Source organism: Homo sapiens, chromosome 8, assembly GCF_000001405.40.
Source record: "Homo sapiens chromosome 8, GRCh38.p14 Primary Assembly".
Lineage (NCBI taxonomy): Eukaryota > Metazoa > Chordata > Mammalia > Primates > Hominidae > Homo > Homo sapiens.
The window spans coordinates 135,549,037-135,572,545 of record NC_000008.11 but is presented as its reverse complement, the minus strand read 5'-3'; the positions used below and the strand labels follow the sequence as shown (position 1 = coordinate 135,572,545).

At 36.3% G+C, this 23,509-nt stretch overlaps 1 protein-coding gene across 15 annotated transcripts in view; it reads right to left on the bottom strand.

The window, feature by feature from the left end:
- KHDRBS3 (KH RNA binding domain containing, signal transduction associated 3) overlaps positions 1-23,509 on the bottom strand; it is a 199,061-nt gene that overhangs the window by 83,971 nt on the left and 91,581 nt on the right. For 14 of the 15 annotated variants that reach the window (XR_242372.3, XR_001745458.2, XR_928287.2 and 11 more), the window contains one exon: positions 14,959-15,098. Coding sequence is in view for 9 of the 15 variants with exons in the window: in XM_047421269.1 (XP_047277225.1) it covers positions 14,959-15,098 (140 nt within the window). In the remaining 6 variants the exon portion in view is untranslated. Of the gene's footprint in view, positions 1-8,144; positions 12,118-14,958; positions 15,099-23,509 lie in introns of those variants that run through there. The other variant, XM_011516799.2, reaches the window with a different exon arrangement.

Below are 23,509 nucleotides of genomic sequence, written 5' to 3'. Positions count from 1 at the left end.
TTTTATGAAGCAGGTTATTGGTTATTTCTTTTCTTTATTCTGTGTTTCATCCAATCTTCAATGCAATTAAAAAAAAAACTAATTGAGCAACTGCTTCCTTATCCTACATTGTATAGAGTATAAAAGAAATCCAAGGCACTTTACAAGATACAATTTAACAAGTTACAAACTGGTTCCTGGTAAAATTATTGACAAATAAGACAGTGTATAAGGAAGTACATTCTTAAGTGCAAGAGAGTTATTTTTCTTCTCTTTGTACCCAGTGAAGTCTCTGATAACAGAGAGCTCCTTATTTATTTTGAAGCCTGTATCACCCACTGTCTTCCAATTCTGATTTTTAGCATGCTTTTACTTTTTTCCTTCATTTAAAAACAAAAATCTTTCTCTGTCATTTCTAACTATCAGCTCTACTGCCTTTTGGAACTATGCAGCAAAAAATTCCTTCCTCTCTGGAAACAATGATCCATTTGATAATAGATAAGTTTAAGACAGAGAAGTAATTTGCCTACGGTCCTCTGTTGAGGGGCTGATCAAGTATCTGTGCTACAGGAATTCAGTTTTTAGTATCGAATTATTTTGAGTAATCAAAAAAGGAATCACAGCACAGTTTGATTCCTTGAAAAGGAAATTTTAAAAATTAAGTAGGATTTGGAAGTGTGTGCTTATCTTTCTATCTCCATTTTATTGAAGAAAGAACTATGGCTTAGAGAGAAGTAACCCCAAGCTCCCCAAGGCCACACAGTGAGTAAGAGTTAGGGGTGACTCTGGAAACTCTGGCTTCCCCAGTGCCAGAGTTCCCCCAACTCTAATCCCCAGCCTCGAACGCCCTGCTTCTCTTCTGCCTCCAAGCCTTTGCACCCTTAACTGGGATGACTTCCCGCCAGCACTATCCCATCTGATTTCTTCTGTTTGTTCATATCCGCTCTCTCCCTGCGGAATTACTTGCATGGTCATTTGTATTTTCATGGCACTCTTTTCTTCATGTCTCTTCTCCTTTATTTATAACCACTCTGTAATAGTTGTTTGTCTCTGATTTTCCCCTTTTAAACTCTAGACTTACTCAGGTAAATACAATGACTTCCTCATTGCTGAACTTCAACTCTTATCACAAAAAGGATTTAAGGAAAATCTGTGATACTAATGACCTAGCTTCAGAAACAGATGATTTTCAAAGAGGTTTTGAGTAAAACTATTACAAGTTCTGAAAAACCAAAGTGTGGTAGGGAAGAGAGAGCCAAAGTACATAAACATACTCACTGGATTCCTTTTGCCCTAAACTGTCTTAGCTTATTAGTGGATCTTGTTTAAACTTTAGGAAAAAATAAGTTGGCAACCCAGGTGTCAAGCTTCCTCCCGTTGGTGATGTCTACAGCAGGCGCAGAACATTTCTCCAGCTTTATGTTGCACGGGACATGTAAAAGTGCTGGCTGAGCTGTAACTGAGAGAATCTGTGCCTAGTTGCATTTCTTGTCTGTTCATCCCTGGCTAGCATTTCAACTACAAGTTCTTGTCAGAAGTTACCCAATTTGTAACACTATTTGCCTCTGTTATTGTCTTCTCAAAGCCTATGCAAGTGATTTTAAAAGAAACCAAAGATTTTCCGCTTTTTGTCTCCCCTTCATCAGCTCCAGTGTGGTTGCTCATTAACACACCATCAGAAAGTGCTTTAATAAAAAGTAATTGAATACTGAAGGCTGATTTCAGTAGAAGGAATTCGGTGGACCTTACAGCAAGAAAAAGCACAGAAACTCATTTCCATGGTAAGTCGTCCAGTTTTCTGCCTGAGATGTGGGGTACTCATGCCAGGTAACAAGCCTAGTTGGGATTAAATACACAGACTACCCAGTAGGCACAGAGTTGGAAGGAAGGAGAAGAGGGTGACTGGATGGGAGAATGGCCTGAGCAGGTAAACCCGGTAGAGAAACAAGCAATTTAAATAACATCCCAATGGAGTGTTCTTTTATTTAAAATTTCCATAATTTTATCCAGTTAGGAAATATATTACCATTTTCCTATATCTACCCTTTCCTTAATAAAAAAAGGACTTTTTAATATTGATTGGTACATTAATATAAATCATACCATACTCTGGTAAAACATTTATGGCCCTAATATTAACTATTCAGTTTTCCTAATAAAATTTCTCATAACTTCATACACTATAGAAGGAAAGTACATCATTTGCAGTTATGAAGATAATCTTTAGCATCTATAATATTCTTAATCAATTTTAAAGATAATATCTTGTAACTTTTCTATTCAGTATGTAACACTTTGGTGTTTACGCCTCTAAAAATAAAGATTTTTTTTAATGGAAGGCTTTAAACATTCCAAATGGCAGTGGAGTTAAGGACATTTATTTTTATATTATCAAAATAACACAATATTAAATTCCTAAAATGTGTATGCATAAAAGAAAGTTTTGCCAAAATAAGTGCATTCTGCCTTCTAGTCTACATATATAGAGATATAAATTCATAATCAACAGATACAGAATTGCCCCGTAAGGCTGCCTTATAAGAATCACAGATTATTAAAGATTATAGACAAAAATTATCTTTTTTAATAAAGTAAGAGGCAGAGAGGTTTTGTTTTTTGTTTTTGTTTTTGTTTTTCTTTCTTCTTAAAAAACTGTATGGAATTGGGTTTGGTGTTAGGAGTAAAAAGACAGAGGGGACCAGGCTGGGTAAGGGGGAACAGGAAACAAGGTCTTTGCAGCCTGGCACTCCGCACTGAGCAAGGCCTCCTAGAGAGCATTCACTCCTTCATCTCCACCACAGAACCTGCCCTGGGTGACTGCTGTGCCGCAGGCCCTGTTGTGGGCAGTGGGAATGGAACAGTAACCAAGAGAGGAGTGTCGCCCAGAGACCATGCGGCTCACCTTCTAAGTAGATTCACACGTTCTACAGTAGGTTAAATATATATATTTTTTCTTTCCAGGAAATTACAAGGAAGGAAAGTATAACTTTCCTGTAAGTGTTCACTTTTTGTTATAATTTCAAATTACTAACTCTCAAGTTAGTTTGTATCTCAAGACAATCCAAACTTAGAAAAACTCCTGGTGAATTTGATGTTGCTACTTAATTTAAAACCTCTTACCTGGTCGTTACCTAAAGTTTTTGCTTAATGACAATTCTATAATTATCTTGCCAATTTGCCCAGTAATTTTATAGCAGCCAATTTAACACTAGTTTTTCTATGTATGTTGAATCCTGAAATGTGCATTTCTCTATCTCAAGGCCTAGAGTTAATGATTCTAAATCTTCATTTCAGTGCACGTCAGAATTACATACAGGTTTGGTATTTCTTAAGTACTGCATTATATTTCAAAAGATGAAATAATTTATGAATTTCAGAAAACTTCTTCCTAAAATATTCTGCTATTCTTTTTTTAATGAAACCAACTATGAATAAAAACGGTTGAGGCATTATTGCTTTTTTTTAAACTACAGGGCTCCTAATGGTGATTGGTTTAGTCTTCCAAAGAGTAAAACTCAATTGTCTCATAAAATTTAGAAGACACCATTGTTTAAACAAACGAATAAAAACACAAAATTTAAAAAATGTGAAGTCAAAAAAATCTAAGCCCAGATTTTAACATGGTTCTTCAATATAAACTGATAATGAAAGGCTGCTTTGTAGACAAAACTGACTATAAAATGTAGGCACCAGTTACAGGGGGAGGCAAGAGCAGAGCACAGGAAAATGATCATTCAAAAGCTGGTCAGCAAATGGGCTGGAAAAGAGAATTCCTACAAATTCAGATGACCGGTCAGTCTTCTTTAACGTCTTAAATTGTTTTAAGAAACAGGTTTCCATTGATTGTTTCAGAGAGCACATGTTTATTACTTTCACTAGTTCTTCCAAATCTTTATATTTGGACTTGACAGCTACGTATATTTGTTTACTTGTCATTTTAATTCTTTTCTCCGTGTTTATTCTCTTAGCTCAGAGTTTCTTTTGGGCTTCTTTATAAACACTCTTAACTCCCTGGCAGCCTTTTATAATGCATTATTCTCGATGTTTCTTGTCATTTTAGTCCCATCACTTTTTCTCCTCCAGAAATGTCTTACATTTAGTAATTTAATAATTTCCAGTACGTTTACAGATTTTAAAACATTTTTTTTCACTCATTTAGTGGAATTTAGGGGAAAGGAGGGTACATGAATAAGCATCTCTGAAAGTAAGGTTCTTGATTAGTTATTTTTTGAAAAAGCTCTATATTGAAAACCAGTGAGTTACCCTATTTTTTAGAATAAATTCAGTTTTAGCAGCCAATCATGCTTATAGTTTTTATTGTATAATGGTGTTATGGTTTTAGGCTTTGAAAATTTTAAAGAAAATATATAATATCCAGAATGGAGACAGCATAAGGAATTAAAGTATTTTAATATTCTTTAAATTAAAGTTGGGTGAGGGAAGCGGAAGACGGGAAGCAGCTTTTGTTTGGGGCTGTGTGTGTGGCAAGTAAGGCAGTAACCGCATTACACAGGGCATGCTTTGACTCCTCAGGGGAAACTTGTAATATTGGCAGTGCTGCCCCCATCTGACTAAAGTGTAGAGAAGGAGCCTTCCTGTGCCCCTTAAGTAGCAGTGGTGGTGACACTTGAATTTAGGTCTGATTCTAAAGCTTTCTTTTCTATGTGCTACCCTTCAGGGGCAAAGAAAGAAATTTTTTAATTCCAGCAGGCAATAGGCCTGCAAATTAAATGGTTAAACATGTATTCAGTCCAAGGCTAAATTCATAGTACTTTGCTCTTAGTCTTTTGGGTAATGGGAAGGCCACATGGAATATATAATCTGTGGTGTTGGGGTGGTGGTAAATGTAATCCTGACATAGAAGCAGTTACGGATTTCTCAGGCTTTTAAAAACCTGATCTCCACTTACTATTTCAGTGAATAGTTATTGAGCACACACTGAATTTCAACACCATGCTTGGACCCAACAATACAAAGGGCAAAAGGCACATTCCCTCTCTACTATGAGCCCAAGCTAGTCTGGAGATTAACACACTTAGTAATTGCTTTGCCATATGGTCCTAGTAACAGCAAAGTATAGCACGGGGTGCTACATGCTCAGAAAAGATGTATAATACCCAAACTGGAGTTATTCCATACTTCTGGAAATAGTACATTTCAATAATTAAACATAGGGGAAATATACTAATGAAAATATACTAATGAAAATGTCTGATGGAATCTCTCTTCTGGGGCCTTCAGGAAGTGCTTACACAAGTGTGAACTGACGTGTTTTCCACATCTGAGAACGCCTTTATTCTCTGTATCTAGGATGAAGTTTTACTGAGTTGCACCCAGAGTTTTCTGACCCAAACCATTGTTAATAGTGCTATTAACAATCACAAGGGAATAGCTTAAAAGCTCTTTGGCACAGCAGTTAACGCAGTTCCTCATCATCCTGACAAGTGGTCAACTCCAACCCCACTCAGCTGCTATAGATGTGTCCAAGGGCGTTAATATGCAGGCAGTTAATTCAGAGGCGTTCAGGAGTAATTATGCAGTCAATGAAGACTGCCACCACTTGGGGTCCATTAAAGGATCTGTGCTGTTTTATTTAGCAGAAGTAAATGTGACTGTTTCTTCTATTAACTGTTTATTGCTCTACCAGCCAAAGCAGGGGCTTTGTAATATGCATGTCTGGATTAAGTACAATTGATGATGTACTACTAGGTTTGAATATTCAAACAGAACTTTTTGTTTTTATAACCATCTCGGCTCACTGCAACGTCTGCTTCCTGGGCTCAAGCGATCCTCCCACCTCAGCCTCCTGAGTAGCTGTGACTATAGGCATGTGCCACCACACTCGGCTGATTTTTAATTTTTAACTTTTTTTTTTGTAAAGATAAAGTCTCACTATACAGCCCATGCTGGTCACAAACTCATGGGCTCAAGTGATCTTCCCACCTTGGCCTCCGCAACTGCTGGGATTTCAGGTCTGAGTCATGGTGCCCAGCCAAAATAAAACTTTAATAATGAAGGTTTCGTTGTTAATTCCTCTCTATCTCGGCATTTCTTTCATCAACTGATCTACTTCATCCTCTACTGTTTCTAGTTTTACATTCTTGGGAGGCTTGAATGTACCGTGTTTGATTGAATTATGAAGATATTATTATAATACTTTGGCTTTGGCTTTATTATAACATTTCAACATTAAAAAATCAAGTTCCTCCTCTAATGTGAAGAACTTCGACTTTAACGTTACATTTATATTCAGAGAGAATGCCTGCTAATAAGAAATTTAGTATATTCAGCAAACATTGGGAGTATTATTTTTCAAATATAAAACTACAGAGGAAACCGAGGAGAGCAACAACTCAATCGAGGGAGTTAGGTATTAACCCTGACTCCACTAACAACTAACTGCCTAACACTTGAAGATGTATAACTCTACATTTGTAGTCTACTTTCATCATGTATAAAATAGAGATAACAATATTTCGCTTATACATGGCTGTTGTGAGGCATTGAAGAGCCACAGATATGAAATTTCTGGCACATGTGTTTTCTCAAAACACACAAGGTTCTACTTCTGGTGTAACAACATAAGCTTAAACCAAATCAAACCTTAGGCAAAAAACTAATCTTTGGATAAAATACAAAAAGCAATTACTTGAAGTTACTGGGTAATGACTAGGTAGATTCCAAAGGGTTATGACGCTTGAAGAAAGGTAACTGAATGAGGTGACTTCTTATGGTGTTTCCAATGAGGACAGGCTGCAGGGGGCATGCTGAGCAGCCAAGACTCCAATGGAAGGCTCTGAGTCTTTGCGCTTGAAGAATCACAGGCCAAAGTTTCCAGCAACCACAGCTGCTGGAAAGTGAGGAAGGAACTGTAGAAGGAAGAGAGCCAGAGATAGGGAGCCACAGATTCTGTGTATGAACTCTCACCAACTCTCTAGTGACAACTGAACCACAAGTGCACAGGGCAGACTGCAAGTATCCCTGAAAAGGATGAAGAAGCTCATCTGAGATTTTAGCTGCTTACCAAGAGATACAGTCTGCAGTTAGAGTTCAATCAAGCTATCTGCTTAAACAGTCTAAAAAAATAAATAAAAGCAACACTGTTTGGAGGAATATAGCAAATTCTAGAGTTTTCAAAGCACAATATTTACTCTAACATAACCAGATTAATTAGCAGACAAGGAATTAAACAAAACTCTCAAAAATTTATAATGTGTAAAAGTATAACCAGGGATCTCAGTTTCAAAAATCACCCACTTCTTCTTCCTTCCCTCCCCTCTCACCTCTTCATTCCTTCCCTCTAAAGAAACTCCCCTCCAGCAATGCATGCTTATCAAATCATGTTCTTGCTTAAGAAATTCCAGAGGCTAATCTTAAACCGGGCAAGAAGCTCCTTTGGAATCCTTCCACTTAGCGGGAATCACGAACAATGAGTCCACCGCCACTGGTCTGAAGTCAAGGTGACACCAGCCAGGCCTCCGGGTAGGCGATTATCCACGACAGCCAATGGAACAAGACTCGCAGCCCCTACGCTCTGCAGCACTCCCACGTGTCTCCCACACCAAGTTTCCCTTTAAAAACCCTAGGGTAAATTTTAACATTTAGAACGCTATGAAACCTGCTTTTCTTCCCATCAACCCTCACCTCCTGTGTTTGCGTCTTGTGTCTGGCTTTTGAGCAGTGAGCAGCCAGCAGCCAAACCTGGGTGTGATTACAAAAGAAAAGATCCTGCTAATGAACAAAAAGATATAAAATTTCAGCAGACAAATAAAAAACTATTAAAAATCAAATGAAAATTTTATATCTGAAAATATAAAGCATCTGAAATGAAAATATCATCGGATTGGCTTCAAAATACAAACGAAGGAGGCAGTGAACTTTGAGGCTAGGTCAAGACATAGACCAGTCTGGAAAACAGACAAAAAAATAATGAAAAATGAGCAGAGACTCAGCCTGTAGGACAATATCATAAAGACGCTTCCCCAAATTTCTCAGTTCACAATGTCCTTAGTGTTTCAGTAATTTTTTCATGATATTTGCCCCAGGCCAAACCAATAAGGAACAAATTTGGTAATTAAATTGTGAGTACCAAACAACTTACATATTTATTTCTCAACAACATTGCAGCTGTTTGAAAAATAATACACATTATTTTATAAGATGTATCATAATTGAAAGGAAATATTTTATTTCATTATTAAATAACAGCAATTATGCATATTGGGTGCTACGTAACTTCTCAAACCATGGGATCAGATGGGACACTGTCACTCTCATTTCCTGATCCACACTTATTTTCAGATAATGTTTATTGTTTATCACAGCATCTGGTAAAATACCAGCGTCACAAAGATGTGACATCATGAAAATCAGTAACATATGATCTAATGCTCAAAAGAAACTATAAAGGATTATCTTAAGCTGACAGTTCCCATAGTGTGGAAACAGGGAAAGGGGCAAGTAAAATATCGGAAGAAACAGTAGCTGAAAATTTCCCTGATTCGATGAAAACTGATAAATGACCCTGGGTGACTGGGTTAGCCTAATGTTCTCACTTAAAACAAAACCACTACATTAAGCACCAATATCTGGGAACACGCACTTAATACTTAAAAAGAGGGCATAATCTCTTTTGTTCATGTTTCTTCTTGCTGCTTCTGGTATCAAATGTGGGAAGGTAGGACTGCTCCTACGTGGAAGAAAGGGCCAGAAGAGCCAGAGCAAAGGTCAATGGAAAAGCAGCACAGAAGCCACCGAGTGTTAGGAGAGGAACAGAAGGCAGCATCCTGGACGGCTCACAACTGTTGAGTCAGACAAAACCAGTACCTTCACATACCCAGTCCTGTGGCAAATAAGATCAGCATTAGCAAAAGAATATTTCCAGTGGTCAACACTTGATCAGAAAGAGGCTAAAGAATGTGCTACAGCACTTTATTCACATTATTGTTTACTGAGCAATTACTATATGCAAGGTACGAGGGACACATGGGTCTTTATGGATTTGCATTACCCATAAGGAATAACCAATGACAACGTGAATAAATAAGGTAAATTGGCTTGACCAATGATACTACTCCACCAGGACAGGGGGTTCTGAGCCAGCTTCTGGCTGAGAGGAAGGACCCTTCACACTGCGTGCTCGGCAAGGGCTTCTCTGACCGTGTATGCTGAGGATGCGATGCTGAGAGGGAGGCGGCCAGACACCTGGAGACAAAGCCTTCAACGAGAAGGAGAATAAATGTGAAGGATCTGGGAAAGAAATGAGCTTCGTCTATTTAAGGAGCAACAGAAAGGAGACCAGTAACGCTGGAGTTAAGACAATGGAAAAGTGGAATAAGATAGAGTCAGATAGGGGAGGAGAGTGCCAAGTGCTGGATTATGTAAGTGCATATGAGGAAGTGTGGATTCCCTTCTAACTGGAAAGGAGCCACTGAAGGATTTTAAGTATGGAAGATATAAGATCACATTTAATTTGAAAAAATCATTGTGACTGAAAATGGAAGAGTAGTGTGGATTAGACTGGGAAGGATGGCAGAGATGATTAAAGAAAAAATGACTTCAGGTTGATTTTAAAGGCAAAAGAAAAATGACTTACTAAGGAACTGAATATGGCAAACAAGAATGCCATTGAAGATATTATCACATCATATGAAGGCCAATTTATGGCTATTCATTGGAGATTTTTCTCACAAGTCTTAAGTAGAAATTCATAGGCTCCAACAAGTATGTTTTTCTTTTGTATGTATTGTGACTGGTTTTGGACATTTAGACACTGAATTCTGTAGCCATATTTCCCTCATCTTTAGCCACAAGGCAACTCAAAGTATAATTTCAAGACCAATTCTGCCAACACTACGGAATGTTGTAATACGTACGTTTTTGTGTACTGACCTTACCCTTGGGTTTTTGTAATTTTCTACCCTAATTTGCTCATCAATTTATATTTACCTTAGTTTTATTCTGTGGACTATATTAGTTGGGCATTAGTTACCACCTATCATTAGTTACCGCATGTGATTTCATGAAAAAAAGGAGTAAATAAATACAGTCGCTTAGCTATGAGGATACCTTCTAAGGAACAGCTCCTTAGGTGTTTTTGTCATTGTACAAACATCACAGAGTGTACTTACATAAACCTAGGTGGCGTAGCCTACTACACGCCTAGGCTATATGATACAGCCTACTGTTCCTTGGCTACAGACTTGTTCAGCATGTTATTGTACTGAATACCGTATGTGACTATAACACAATGATAGGTGTTTGTGTATCTACACATATCTAAACACAGAAAAGGTACAGTGGAGACACAATAAAAGATGGAGACATGACAATATAAAAGATGGAGAATGGTAAACCTAGATAGGGCACTTACCATGAGTGGAACTTGGAAGACTGGAAGTTGTTCTGGGTGAGTGACTGAGTGAGTGACAAGTGAATGTGAAGGCCTAGGACACTACTGTAGACTTTATAAACATTATAAACTTGGACTACACTAAATTTATTTTAAAAATATTTTCCTTTCTTCAAAAATTACCCTTAGTTTACTGTAATTTTTTAAAATTTGTCAACTTTTAACTTTTTTTTTTAAACTTTTTGACTCTTTTCTAGCAACACTTGGCTTAAAACACAAACACTGTGAATCTGTACGAAAATATTTTCTTTATATCTTTATCCTATCAGTACTCTTCTGTTAACTTTTAAAATTATTTTTTAAGCTGTTTTCGTATGCAATTAAGATACAAACGCACATTAGCCTATAGCCTAGGACTACATAGGGTCAAGATCATCAAGATCATCATCGTCACTAGGCAACGGGGACTTTTCAGTTCTTTCATAATCTTATGAGACCACTGTTACATGTTCTGTCCGTCCTTGACCAAAAATGTCATTTTGTGGTGCATGACTATTTAAGTCTTTTCATCTTGTATTAAAAGTGTGATCATGAGCCATAATGAAAACACAATAAAAGTGCTAGAATGAAAATTATCTGGGAGAACTACAGTAAGGGAATGGGAAAAAAAAAAAAACTTATTACTTATTCTGGATCAAAACACAAGGGAAGGACCAAGCAGAGAGGAGAGGTTTGGATTATGAAAGCACACTGCCTGGATTCCACCCGGCTCTACCAACCACTAGCTGCATGACTTTCGGCAAAGAATCTACCTCCCTGGTCTCACTGTCCTCATTTGAAAAATGGTAATGTTAACAAAACAGTGCCCACCTCATCGGACTATGATGAGGCATAACTTAGTTAATATCTGTAAAGTCCTTAGAAAAGTACTCAACCAATAGTAGCTGCAATATAAGTGTTTGTTAAAATGAGTTTCAATTCAGACTTGAAGGTAATAATGATTTTGAAAAGGCGAGACAGAAGAAACAAGTGAGCAAAGATATAGAAGAATACAAGCACCAACTTTATGAAACAAAGCTTCTACCCTAGGGTTGGTTAAATACACAGGAAATATGGCAAAATAATCAGTAGACTAAACTGTACAAAGGATTTGAGAAAACACGTACCAAGAAGGCTTTGAATTCCTGCCGTATGAATATAAACATTGTACTGTAGAAACAAGGTGTTTAAAGGACTTGGGACCAAGGAAGACCATAATAATATGGAGGAAGTAAAGTGGGTTGTGTGTTCAGTGCCCTGCTGGTGCCTAGCATATGAGCTGCTTATGATTTCAAGTACACAGGTGGTAACCGTAAGTACGCAAATAAAGGTATTTAACTCTGGCACTGAACCAATCATTACTCCACCACAAACTGAAACTAGGGTCTAAAATTTGAACTTAAAAATAATGCTATCACAGAATATTAACCATCAAGACATTAAAACAACTTTAAATGACAAGCAATGCATATGCTGTAATCACGAGGGATGAGTTTTCATCTGTGCAGATGGAGGTATCTGTCCAGGTACTGTATTCAAAATAAACAAAAAAACTACTTCTGTCTTCCTCCTCTGTTCATAACATTTTCAACAACTTAATTTAGAAACCGACAACTGAATTATAAATTATATTCAGTAAAAATGGCAGATCTAGTGTGAGGAACACAGTATCCCCTAAACAACAGCAGCGGATGTGCTCGATTCTCCACACTCTATTCTGGAGGGGATATTCATTCTGTGCTGGTATTCTGCAAAAAGGTGTAAGAGTAATTTAATCTTAAGTGAAATATCACTGGGTTAATTTTATTACATACACATATATATAAAGATAAGTATATATATAAAATAAATGTTGTAACATGCACTTTTCTGTGTACTACTCTTACTTGTATAAAGTTATATACAGCAGCCACAGGAAACTAATATACCAGGTAAATAATTTCTTATGATGAATACTACATATAGTGTTCATCATAAGAGATATATATATATCACTAAAAATAAACTGTATATATATACAGAGATACCTTTTTATCTATATTTCACTAAGAAGATTGGAATGCTGACATATAAATGTCATGTGTGGGAGACTTATGTTTCTCTTTTTAGTTTATTTTTATTTTTGCAGAGATGGGGTCTGGCTATGTTGCCCAGACTGGTCTCAAACTCCTGTCCTCAAACAATCCTCTTGCCTTGGCCTCCCAAAGCACTGGGATTACAGGCATAAGCCACTGTGCCTGGACTGTTTCTCTTTTTACTTATCTATATGCATTTTCTGTTCACTTTTTGGGTGAGATTTGAGGACAGATGTTTGAGTCTCTATTATTTCAAAGGGGTAGGAGATAATTTCTTGATTGGGAGGTTTGCTGTCTGCAATGGCATCAATAATGCAACTAGCCACTTATGAATGAACACTCACTATTTATCTGCATTTACAAATAAACAAACAAACATAAACTGGTAATGTAGGGATAAGTTTGGAGACTTTCAGAAGAGTTTTTAAAATATATTTTGTTGGCCGGGCATGGTGGCTCACGCCTGTAATCCCAGCACTTTGGGAGGCCAAGGCAGGCAGATCACGAGGTCAGGAGTTAGAGAGCAGCCTGGCCAACAGGGTGAAACCCCGTCTCTATTAAAAATACATACACACAAAAAAATTAACCAGGTGTGGTGGCAGGTGCCTGTAATCCCAGCTACTCGGGAGGCTGAGGCAGGAGAATTATTTGAACCCGGGAGGTGGAGGTTGCAGTGAGCCAAGATCGTGCTACTGCACTCCAGCCCGGGTGACAGGGCAACACTCCATCTCAAAAAATAAATAAATAAACAAAATAAAATAAAATATATTTTGTTGTATTTGGCTTGTAAATGTACAAGCTCCTATCACAGCAAAGATAAAACTAACTAGACTAGTAGGTCACTCAAAATTATGCTGTCCTAATCCCAGGAACCTTATCTAGAAAAAGAAATTTCTAGACAAGGTTACCTTATCTAGAAAAAGAAATTTCTAGACAAGGTTACCTTATCTAGTTACATTACCTTATCTAGAAGAAGAAATTTTACAGATGTGATTTAGATCTTGAGATGGAAAGATTACTCTGGATTACCCTGGTGTGCCCTAAATATAATCACATGTCTCCTTGTAAAAGGGAGGCAGAAGATTATAGATACAAGAGAAGGCAGTGTGAGGACGGAGAGGTTAAAGTGACGTGCCTACAAATCAAGGAATGTTGTAGCCATCAGAAACTGGAAGAGACACGGAAAGGAATCTCCCCTAGAGCCTCCAGGGAGAGAACGACCTTGCCAACACCTTGACTTTGGCCTAGTGATAGTGATTTTGGCATCTGGCCTCCATAACGATCAGAGAATACATTTCTATCATTTTCAGCCAAAAAAAAAAATCTGTGGTAATTTGTCACAGCAGCCACATGAAAATAATGAAGCAGGTAAGTAAGTTCCTAAGATTTCAAGTAAATTTAATGGTAGAAAAAATAGAAATGAAAGAGATTTACCATTTACTGAGTACCTACATAAATTATCTCATAAAATCATCAATAGCAACCCTATTACTATTAGCTCTTTTTATTAATAGAGAAAAATCCATAGGTATCATACCCATATCTATGTTTCTTGCATAACTGCTCTGACATTGCTCTAATCAGCAATGCATAATTGAGGAAGTGACTTTTTATTCTCCCAAATAAACTTAGAGATATACAAGAATGCTATTTTAAATTACTTCATGCAAAATTCTATCTAAAATAAAAATTTATCCATAGTCATTAGTTTAATTGAAAAATTTGCATTATTCTTTCCACTGACTTCAAAGATTGAAAAATTAAAAATAATTCTCAAATAAATTTGAGATAGTCATATCAGATTTATGACTTCTTCAAAACATTTTCCCATTAACATTAATCACCAATCCAAGGAGAGAAATAAAAAATGTGTGTGCCTAGACCAGCTCAGGAATTTACAGATGCCACAGAGCTTTTACAGTGAATAAAATTACAACAAGCATGTGGGCACTGACTTGGTGTCTCACACTGTGCTTAGGATTGGTGATGTTGCAATGAACTAGCCTGATGGTTTACTCAATGGCAAAACACAAGTGACTGCTAGCCCAATCTTCATATCAATGCGATTACTTACATAAAAAACAAGTCTCATTTAAAAAAATTTAAGAAGTAATATTACAGTGAATAATAATATTCACCTAGAATCATCAGCTAATAAGTGTCACAGGTTATATTTAAGCCCAGGAATATCTCACTCCAAAGTAAATCCCCTTAATATGACATCACATTGTTTGACCATAGGCTTAAAAAAGTTATGATTATGATTTTTAAAGTGATAGGGTCTCACTACGTTGCCCACATTGGAGTGCAGCAGCTATTCACAGGCACTATCGTAGCATACCATGGCCTCGAACTCCTGGCCTCAGATTCCCGAGTAGCTGGGACTACAGGCATGTGCCACCATGCCCACATGAATACAAGTTTTGTTCAGATAGAACTGGTTTTGGCTACTAATAAAGGAAATATTAAAACTGCTGCCACGGTATGTTAACCTAAAAAAAAATTTACACCTACCTGGTTATTGCTGGGGCTGGTACACCTCTTGTACGCAAGGTGGGTTTCCCTCGAACCACTGGAACATCTGCATTTTCTGAACCACCATTCAAATATGTTAACTCCTGGAGCTGTGCTTGCCTGATCTCATCATTATAATCCTACACAAAAGACAGAAGATAGCAAAATTCACTTCATATTAGAAATGCAAAAATATTTAGAACAAAAAGCAAGTAATTCTTAATAGAAAAAAGGGTTAGGAAAATAGTTGAATTTACAAAACAAAATACAAATTTGCTAAAATAAAAATGTGATAATAAATTCTTGTAAAAAAGGAAGAAAAAAACTACAGCATTTTTTCCTCAAGCTAAAATTTTCTATAATCAGCCACTAACCTTTCTCTGGGCATACTTTGCAAGTGAGACATTTATAATAAAATTAAAATACCATAAAACTGATATATGGGTGTTGTTATTTACAACTCAATTCAACTAGCAGGTATTGATTATCTATAATGAACCAAGTAACAGAGAAACAAAGAGGAATTAAGCCATAGCCCAGCACCCAAGGACTTCACTCTAGCAAAGAGGAAGGATATATATACATACACAACAGCATAGCCTTCATGTAGTTAAGAACCACAGGGACACAGGCTTTTTGTACATTTCCAGTAGAAAATTATACAAGTTGTGAAATTCAACATTTTCAGAATTGAACACATAATCTTATTCCTGAAAATTTGCTCTTTCATCTTAAATTATTATCAAAATATTCAACTACGAAACTCTAGGAGTGGTCCTTGATTTCTCCTGCTTCCTTAGCACCCTGAACTCCATTCAACAATCATCAGCTAAGACATGGGTAAATTTAAATGTAATCTATTTTACAAAAAAGGGAAAGTTCAGGTCTAAAGGATCAAAAAGGAAATAGTAAGTTTGTTACAAGAAGTCCTGCCTCAGGATGAGAATTAAAGGGGTAATAACCAGAATCTACAAAGAACTTAAACAAATTTACAAGAAGAAAGCAAACAACCCCATCAAAAAATGGGCAAAGGATATGAACAGACACTTCTCAAAAGAAGACATTTATGCAGCCAACAGTTATATGAAAAAATGCTCATCATACTGGCCATTAGAGAAATGCAATCAAAACCACAATGAGATACCATCTCACACCAGTTAGAATGGCAATCATTAAAAAGTCAGGAAACAACAGATGCTGGAGAGGATGTGGAAAAATAGGAATGCTTTTACATTGTTGGTGGGAGTTTAAATTAGTTCAACTACATGGAAGACAGTGTGGCGTTTCCTCAAGGATCTAGAACTAGAAATACCATTTGACCCAGCAATCCCATTACTGGGCATATACCCAGAGGATTATAAATCATTCTAGGATAAAGACACATGCACATGTATGTTTACTGCAGCACTATTCACAACAGCAAAGACTTGGAACCAACCCAAATGTCCATCAATGATAGACTGGATTAAGAAAATGTGGCACATATACACCATGGAATGCTATGCAGCCATAAAAAAGGATGGGTTCATGTCCTTTGTAGGGACAGGGATGAAGCTGAAAACCATCATTCTCAGCAAACTATCACAAGATCAGAAAACCAAATACCGCACGTTCTCACTCATAAGTGGGAGGTGGACAATGAGAACACATGGACACAGTGAGGGGAACATCACATACCAGCTCCTGTCGAGGGATGGGGGGCTAGGGGAGGGATAACATTTGGAGAATTAACGTAGGTGACGGGTTGACGGGTGCAGCAAACCACCAGGGCACGTGTATACCTATGTAACAAAACTGCACGTTCTGCACATGTAACCCAGAACTTAAAGTATAATAAAAAACAAATTTTAAAAAAGATCTTTAAAAAAGATCAATGAAATAGAAGTGAGAGCTCAGATATAAGTTACAGTCAACTGCTTTTTTAAGTAGTCTCTTCTGCAGCTGGTACTGCAATAACTAGAAAGCCATATAAATATAAACAAATAAACAAATAAAAAATAAAGTGAGAGCCCCACATACTTCATGTTATACACAGAAATTAGAACAAAATGAATCAAGAGACCTAACTGTAAATAACTAAAACTATACAACTCTTAGTTCTGGGGGGTCAATTTTTTTGGCTTCACTGGTCCACACTGGAAGAATTGTCTTGGGCCACACACAAAATACACTAACACTAATGATACCTGGTGAACTACCAAAAAAAAAAAAAAATCTCAATGTTTCAATATTTTAAGAGAGTTTACGGATTTGTGCTGGGCCACATTCAAAGCCTTCCTGGGCCACATGTGGCACGTGGGTTGGACAAGCTTGTCTTTGATGAAAACATAAGGAGTGAATCTTCACAGAGTATACTGAAAAGGTGTGGCAAGAAACTGAGGAGGATAAGAAGATATTACATTATAAAAGCCACAGGAAGTCAGTGTTGTATTTACATTCTGCCAAAACAGCAAGTCCTAATTCTATGGGATTCATTAACAGTAAAGCCACTACTATCAGAAATAGTTTGGGTGAAAGGTGGAGATGGAATCCATTTCAGTGGAATAAATAATAAATAGCAGTAAGCCACAGAAATTAACGGCAGGCAGCTACTTCCAGCTGTATGGCCACAATGAAAACGAGACAGAAAGGATCATAGTTTGCAGGGAGGAACAGAGGATTTTAAGACAGAAGAAACATGAGCATATTCGAGTGTAAATAGAACATTTAGAGGAGACAGATTCCTGAATTATTTATTATTTAGAATTAAAAACCTGAAAGAAATTCAGGATATTTATTTTAAAAAATTTTTCAAAAGCAGAATGCAAAAAATGACTTGAAACTTGTAGTAGAAGGCATTCTGGAATTAAAAATATATGAACACCAATCAAAAAGAAAGTTAAAATCATAATCAGCTAACACTTGCAAAGCAGGAAGAAGAGAAGGCAAATAATGACCAATACAAGTAACTGTGATTGACAGGAAAAATTAAGAATGGAGTCAATATTTTATTGTAAATATAAATTATTTCCCTGACTTATTTCAGGTATTGTGACCTCAGGGGAAACATCTGATTCTTTCCATCATTATTTCAACCTCTCTAAAATAATCCTATTAGTATGTTCCCAGCCATTTTACTGAAAATGTGTGAAGATTAATACATAATTTGTAAAACACATTCTAAATAAGTGATTTGTAAAGCTCTAAATATAATGTGCTATATAAATGGTAAATATTTGACCCGCTGAAAAGTGTTAGGAGGTGTAATACTAAATTGTATGAAGTTAAAAATAGATTCATGCAAAAAGAACACAGTCAAGGCCCTATTCAAAAACAAATTAAAAATTAAAAAGTATTGTTCTAAGTAAGGTTAGGTGATTATAACAGTATCACAAAAACTATAACGTCCATTTAAGATATCATCTTTGAAAAACTACATTTAACAATAGTGTAGTAGGGAAAGAAATATGGAATTTGAGTCAATCACTTCTGAGGCTAAGACTAAATTTAACCACCTGAACTTAACAGCTATGTGATTGTAGACAATTTTTTAAAATTCTAGGTGACTGTTTCTCCTGGTGTCAAATGGACACTGTTGATATAACCATTATAGTTAGTAGTTTCTTGGTCTTTGAAAAATGCTTTTAAATTAGTAGAGAATGCAAATCATTCATAGTAGCTTACAGACTAACTTATTTCTGTAATTTTGCATTTTAAATTATCATTTTAACTCCCCGTCTGAAAAGTGAAACTATTACAACATTAACACCATCATGAATTGTAAAGAGCAGAAAAGCCATTAAAATTTTGAGTAAATATGTGTAAGCAGGACTTGACTACCCAGTGAGCTTACAATCTATTCAAATGTATGTTAGCCTGAAGAATGGAGAAAAAGTTTTTAAATGAAATCATTAAAAGTAACTCATAAAAATTCAGTGGGCTCTCTGTTAGGAATTTACTCTTCAGCTATATTTGCCAAAATAGGCCAATAGTTATGTCCAAGGTTAATCCTAGGATCACTGTTTGTATTGTGATCTATAAGAAGTAACCTCAATGTTCATTATTTGAGGGCCAATTAAATAAACTCTGGAACATGCATATAATAAAATATTATGCAGACATTAAAAAGAATGAAATAAAACTGCATATGCTCATAGGAACAAGGTCCAAAATCACGTAAGTTAAAAACAAAAGGTACTAATAGGACATGCGACTTCTGGTACAGCTAAGGGAGGAGCTCAGCAAAGCCTCCCCCATAAAAAGCAAAATAAAAACTGACGAAATGGTTCAAAGTAACCATTTTAGGAGTCTGAAAACTGACTAATGGTACACAATAAACTGAAAATATAATATATTTATTCATTAAAAAGTGCTACATTTCAGGTAAGAAATATGAGAGTCTGGCCTGCTTGCCTAAGGATGCACCTAGTATTGCCATCTTGGGTTGCGTCAAGAAACTGACCACCAGGCTAGCCAGAAATTGGACAGATAATTCAGAAAATGAGACAGTCTTGAAAAGCTCGCCACACACCTCTGGCTGGATGGAAGGCTATATGCATGGACAGCAAGAAGAGAGTGAGGCAAAGCTCTCCATACAACCTTTCCTGAAGGTGAGTGCACATATATGCAGCGGAGACAGGAGGCATCCCAGAGCAACAGAAAAGCCAGGGTGGACATGGCGAGAGTCTTCTTGGATCCACTCCCCTATGTACACACACAGCTCCATCATCGGAGGATGGAAACCTCACTTACACAGCTGTCTGAACACGAGCTCCCCTTGGCTGTCCACTAAGCAGTGCTGACACAGACAACATCCCTAGCAGGCCAGGTTTAAAAATAAACGCAAGAAAAAAACACATTAACAGAGATATTATTAGCTGTAACTATGAGGAAGACAGGCTGCAAATTTATTCCAACTAAATTATTAAAGAAATAGAAGACAAAAAAATAAAAAAAATTAAAAAACACCTCAGCAACAAAAACTCCTCTGGGAAGAAAATACATCAGATTACAGGTTTGCTATGTTATCGAAAATACAGACTTTTCAACAAAAAATTAAGAAACATGCAAAGAAACAGGAAAACGTGACCTATACTCAGGGGGAGAAAAGCAGTACAAAGAGGCTGTCTTGGAGAGGGCCCAGATGTTGGAATTGCAACAAAAGAAAATTTAAAAAGCGTATTGCCAACAATGAAAAATTCACTAGAGGAGTTCAATAACAGCTATGAGCTGGCAGAAGTAGTTAACTTGAAGACTAGTCCATTAAAATTATCCAGTCTGAGGTACATGGAGAAAAACGGATGAAAAACCCTGAATGTAAGAAATCCATGAGACACCAGCATGTGTATCAACATACACGTAACTGGAATTAGGGGGTGTGGTGGGGGGTAGAAAGACAGAAAAAGTTTAAATAGCTGAAAACTTTCCACATTTAATGAAAAACATAAACCTACAGATGCACAAAGCTTAGCCAACAAATAGGATAAACATACATCACACCCAAATTGCTGACAACCAGAGGCAGAAAAAATCTTGACAGCAGCAAGAGAAAAACAACAGATTATACACAGGAGAACAGCAAAATGATTAATGACTCTTCTCATCAAAAATAACAGAGGTCAGAAGGTAGCAGAGTAGCATATTCAAAGTGCTGGAGAAACAAAAAACAAAAACGATCAATCAATAATTATATAACCTGTTTTTTAGGATGTAGGTAAAATAAAGACATTCCCAGAAAAACAAAAGACTTTTTGCTAGCAGACCTAGGTTACAGGAAAGTCTAAAGAAAAACCTTCAGGCTGAAAAGAAATAATACCATATGGCAGCTCTATCCACAGGAAGAAATGAAGGGCACCCAAAATAGTATAAGTTAATATAAAAGACTCCAGAAAAATACTGTGCGACAAACCAATATCCTTCATAATTACAGATGTAAAAATCCTTAACAAACTATTAGTAAACCATATCTAGCAACACATAAAGAAGACTACATGCCATGACCAAGTGGGAATTATCCTCGGAATGCAAATGTGGCTTCACATCTGAAATCAACTAATGTAATACACTATTATTCACAAAATAAAGGAGAATAAAACCACACAATCATCTCAGGAGGAAAAAGATTTGCAAAATTCAATACCCATGTTTATACATTTATTCATGATAAAAACTCTCATCCTTTAGAAATATAAGAGAACTTCTTCAACATGACAAAGGGTAGCAATAAAAAAAACCTATAGCCAATGGTGAAAGACTGAATGCTTTCCCCTCCAATTTTAGAAACAACACTGCATTCACGGTTCTAGTCAGTGTCATAAGGAACGGAATGGAGTGGAATGGAATAGAATAGAATAACAACATTACATTAAAAAAATTAAAGGCATCCATATTGGAAAAGAACTAGTTAAGTTGTCTTTATTCACAGATGACATGCTCCTGTATTCCACTAATTAGGATTCCACTTAATCATTGTAGTGATTCTATTAAAAAAACACCACACTGGAACTAATAAACACGTTTGGCAAGATCACAAGATACAAAATCAATATACAAAACTCAATTGCATTTCTATACACTAGTAATCATCTGAAAATGAAATTTTAAAAATTGCACTCACAGTAGTATCAAAAAGTATACAATATTTACAAATCAATTTTGCAAAAGGAAAGGAAAAGGCTGACACCCTGAACACTATAAAACACTGTTGAGAAAAATTTTAAAATATCTTTTTTAAAAGTGAAGAAACATTTCATGTTCCTGGATTGGAAAACTCAAAATTGTTAAGATGAAAATTATCCCCAAACTGATCTATAGATTCAATATAATATCTATCAAATCCTAGCCAGCTTTTTTTTAATAGAAATTAAGAAGCTGATCCTAAAACACATATGAAAATGCTAAGAAGCCAGAAAAGCCAAAAAATGTTTGAAAAAGAACAAAGGTGGACAATTTACACAACCTAGATTTCCAGATTTACTTAAGGCTAAAGTAATTAAGAGCATGCTACTGGCATTAAGAGTAGGCATACAAATCAATGAAAAAGAATTTGAGAATGCAGAAATAAACCTTTACATTTATGTTTAGTCAATTTTCAACAATGGTACTAAGGTACTGAATGAGGAAATGATTGTCTTTTCAACATATGGTGCTAGGACAACTGATATCCATCTAGAAAAAAATAAATTTAGAGACTAACCTCAAATATACAAATTAACTCAAAATGTATTTTAAGTGAAAGAATACTGAAAAATTTTTAAAATAAAACAGTAGAAAATCCTGGTGACCTTCATTAGGCAAAGACTTTTTTGGCCAGTCCAGATTCTGTGTGAGGTAAATTAGAGTCTACCTCTGGGGAAGGATCGTAAGGGTCATGGGATAAATGGTGCTACTGCAGCCATCTTTGGAAAAGAGAATCTGTTTCACCTGGCTAGATCTGCACTGCCTGGTCCACACTGCATGATCACCAAAACTTACTCCTCTCCTTAGCTGTGGTCTCGCCATAGTTTCAATTTTGTAGTCATTTATATGAAAAACTGACTCATATCTGACTCTTTGCCATTAAACTCCATGAGGGATCATGTATTTTATTAGTTCACATCTGCCTACCACATAGTAAGCCCTTAGAAATTTTGTTTTTAAACTAAAAGAAGAAATAGATTGTCATATTTGCTCATGGGAACTAAAGAAAATACTAGCCATTTCAGTTCCCAGGTTATTACATACTTAATGCAATTCTATGTCCTGGCTTTTTAAAGGCAAAAGTGATTTAAATATCCTTTCCCTATAAATATAATAATTGTTTTCCTCACAGATAATATAATCACAGTACATGTGCTGTAGTATGTAAGTCAATCCACCAAACTAACCTGGGATAACCAAAGACAGTCTTATCCAGAGAACTACTTGGCAGATGTGTCAGCTTCTCTAAAATAAATTGTCTGCAGAGCCAAAGTGTTGATGCTTTACGATTCTTTTTATCAAGAGCATGCAAATGACATAATAAGTCCTTTTATCAAGAGCATACAAATCACACAAAAGACTTAAATCAACTTTCGTAACAGAGGTAGAGATGTATTCCCTTTAAATTGTCACATCCTTAGCAATGTGAAGGTGTCTGAAAGGGTTAAAACAGACAGTCAATTTTTAACAAAACATCCAAAATACTTGGCAGAAGCTAGCTAAATAGCCCATCCCCTCTGGGCTCATTATGGTTATGTCTGTTATATTTATCATGTTGTACTGAAATCATCTGTTGATGTTTCTCTTTTCCTCTAAATTACGTATTATATTATACTAAATGAGGGCAGGGACTGCTTTTATTCAAGTCTGCATGCCAACACCAAGCACTGTGCATGGCACACAGAGGCACTAATGGTTTTGTGTTGGAGAACAAAAAAGTTGTACAGTGTCACATAAAATCGTAGGAAAAGCGTTTCAAAACCTGAACTAGTGATTGTGCTATGCAAGTTTTTTAGCCATGTAACCTTGGCCATATTATTAAATCTTCCTGAAATTCTAACACCTCATATATACATAAGGAATAATGCCCAGTAATTTACAAGGACAATGTAAG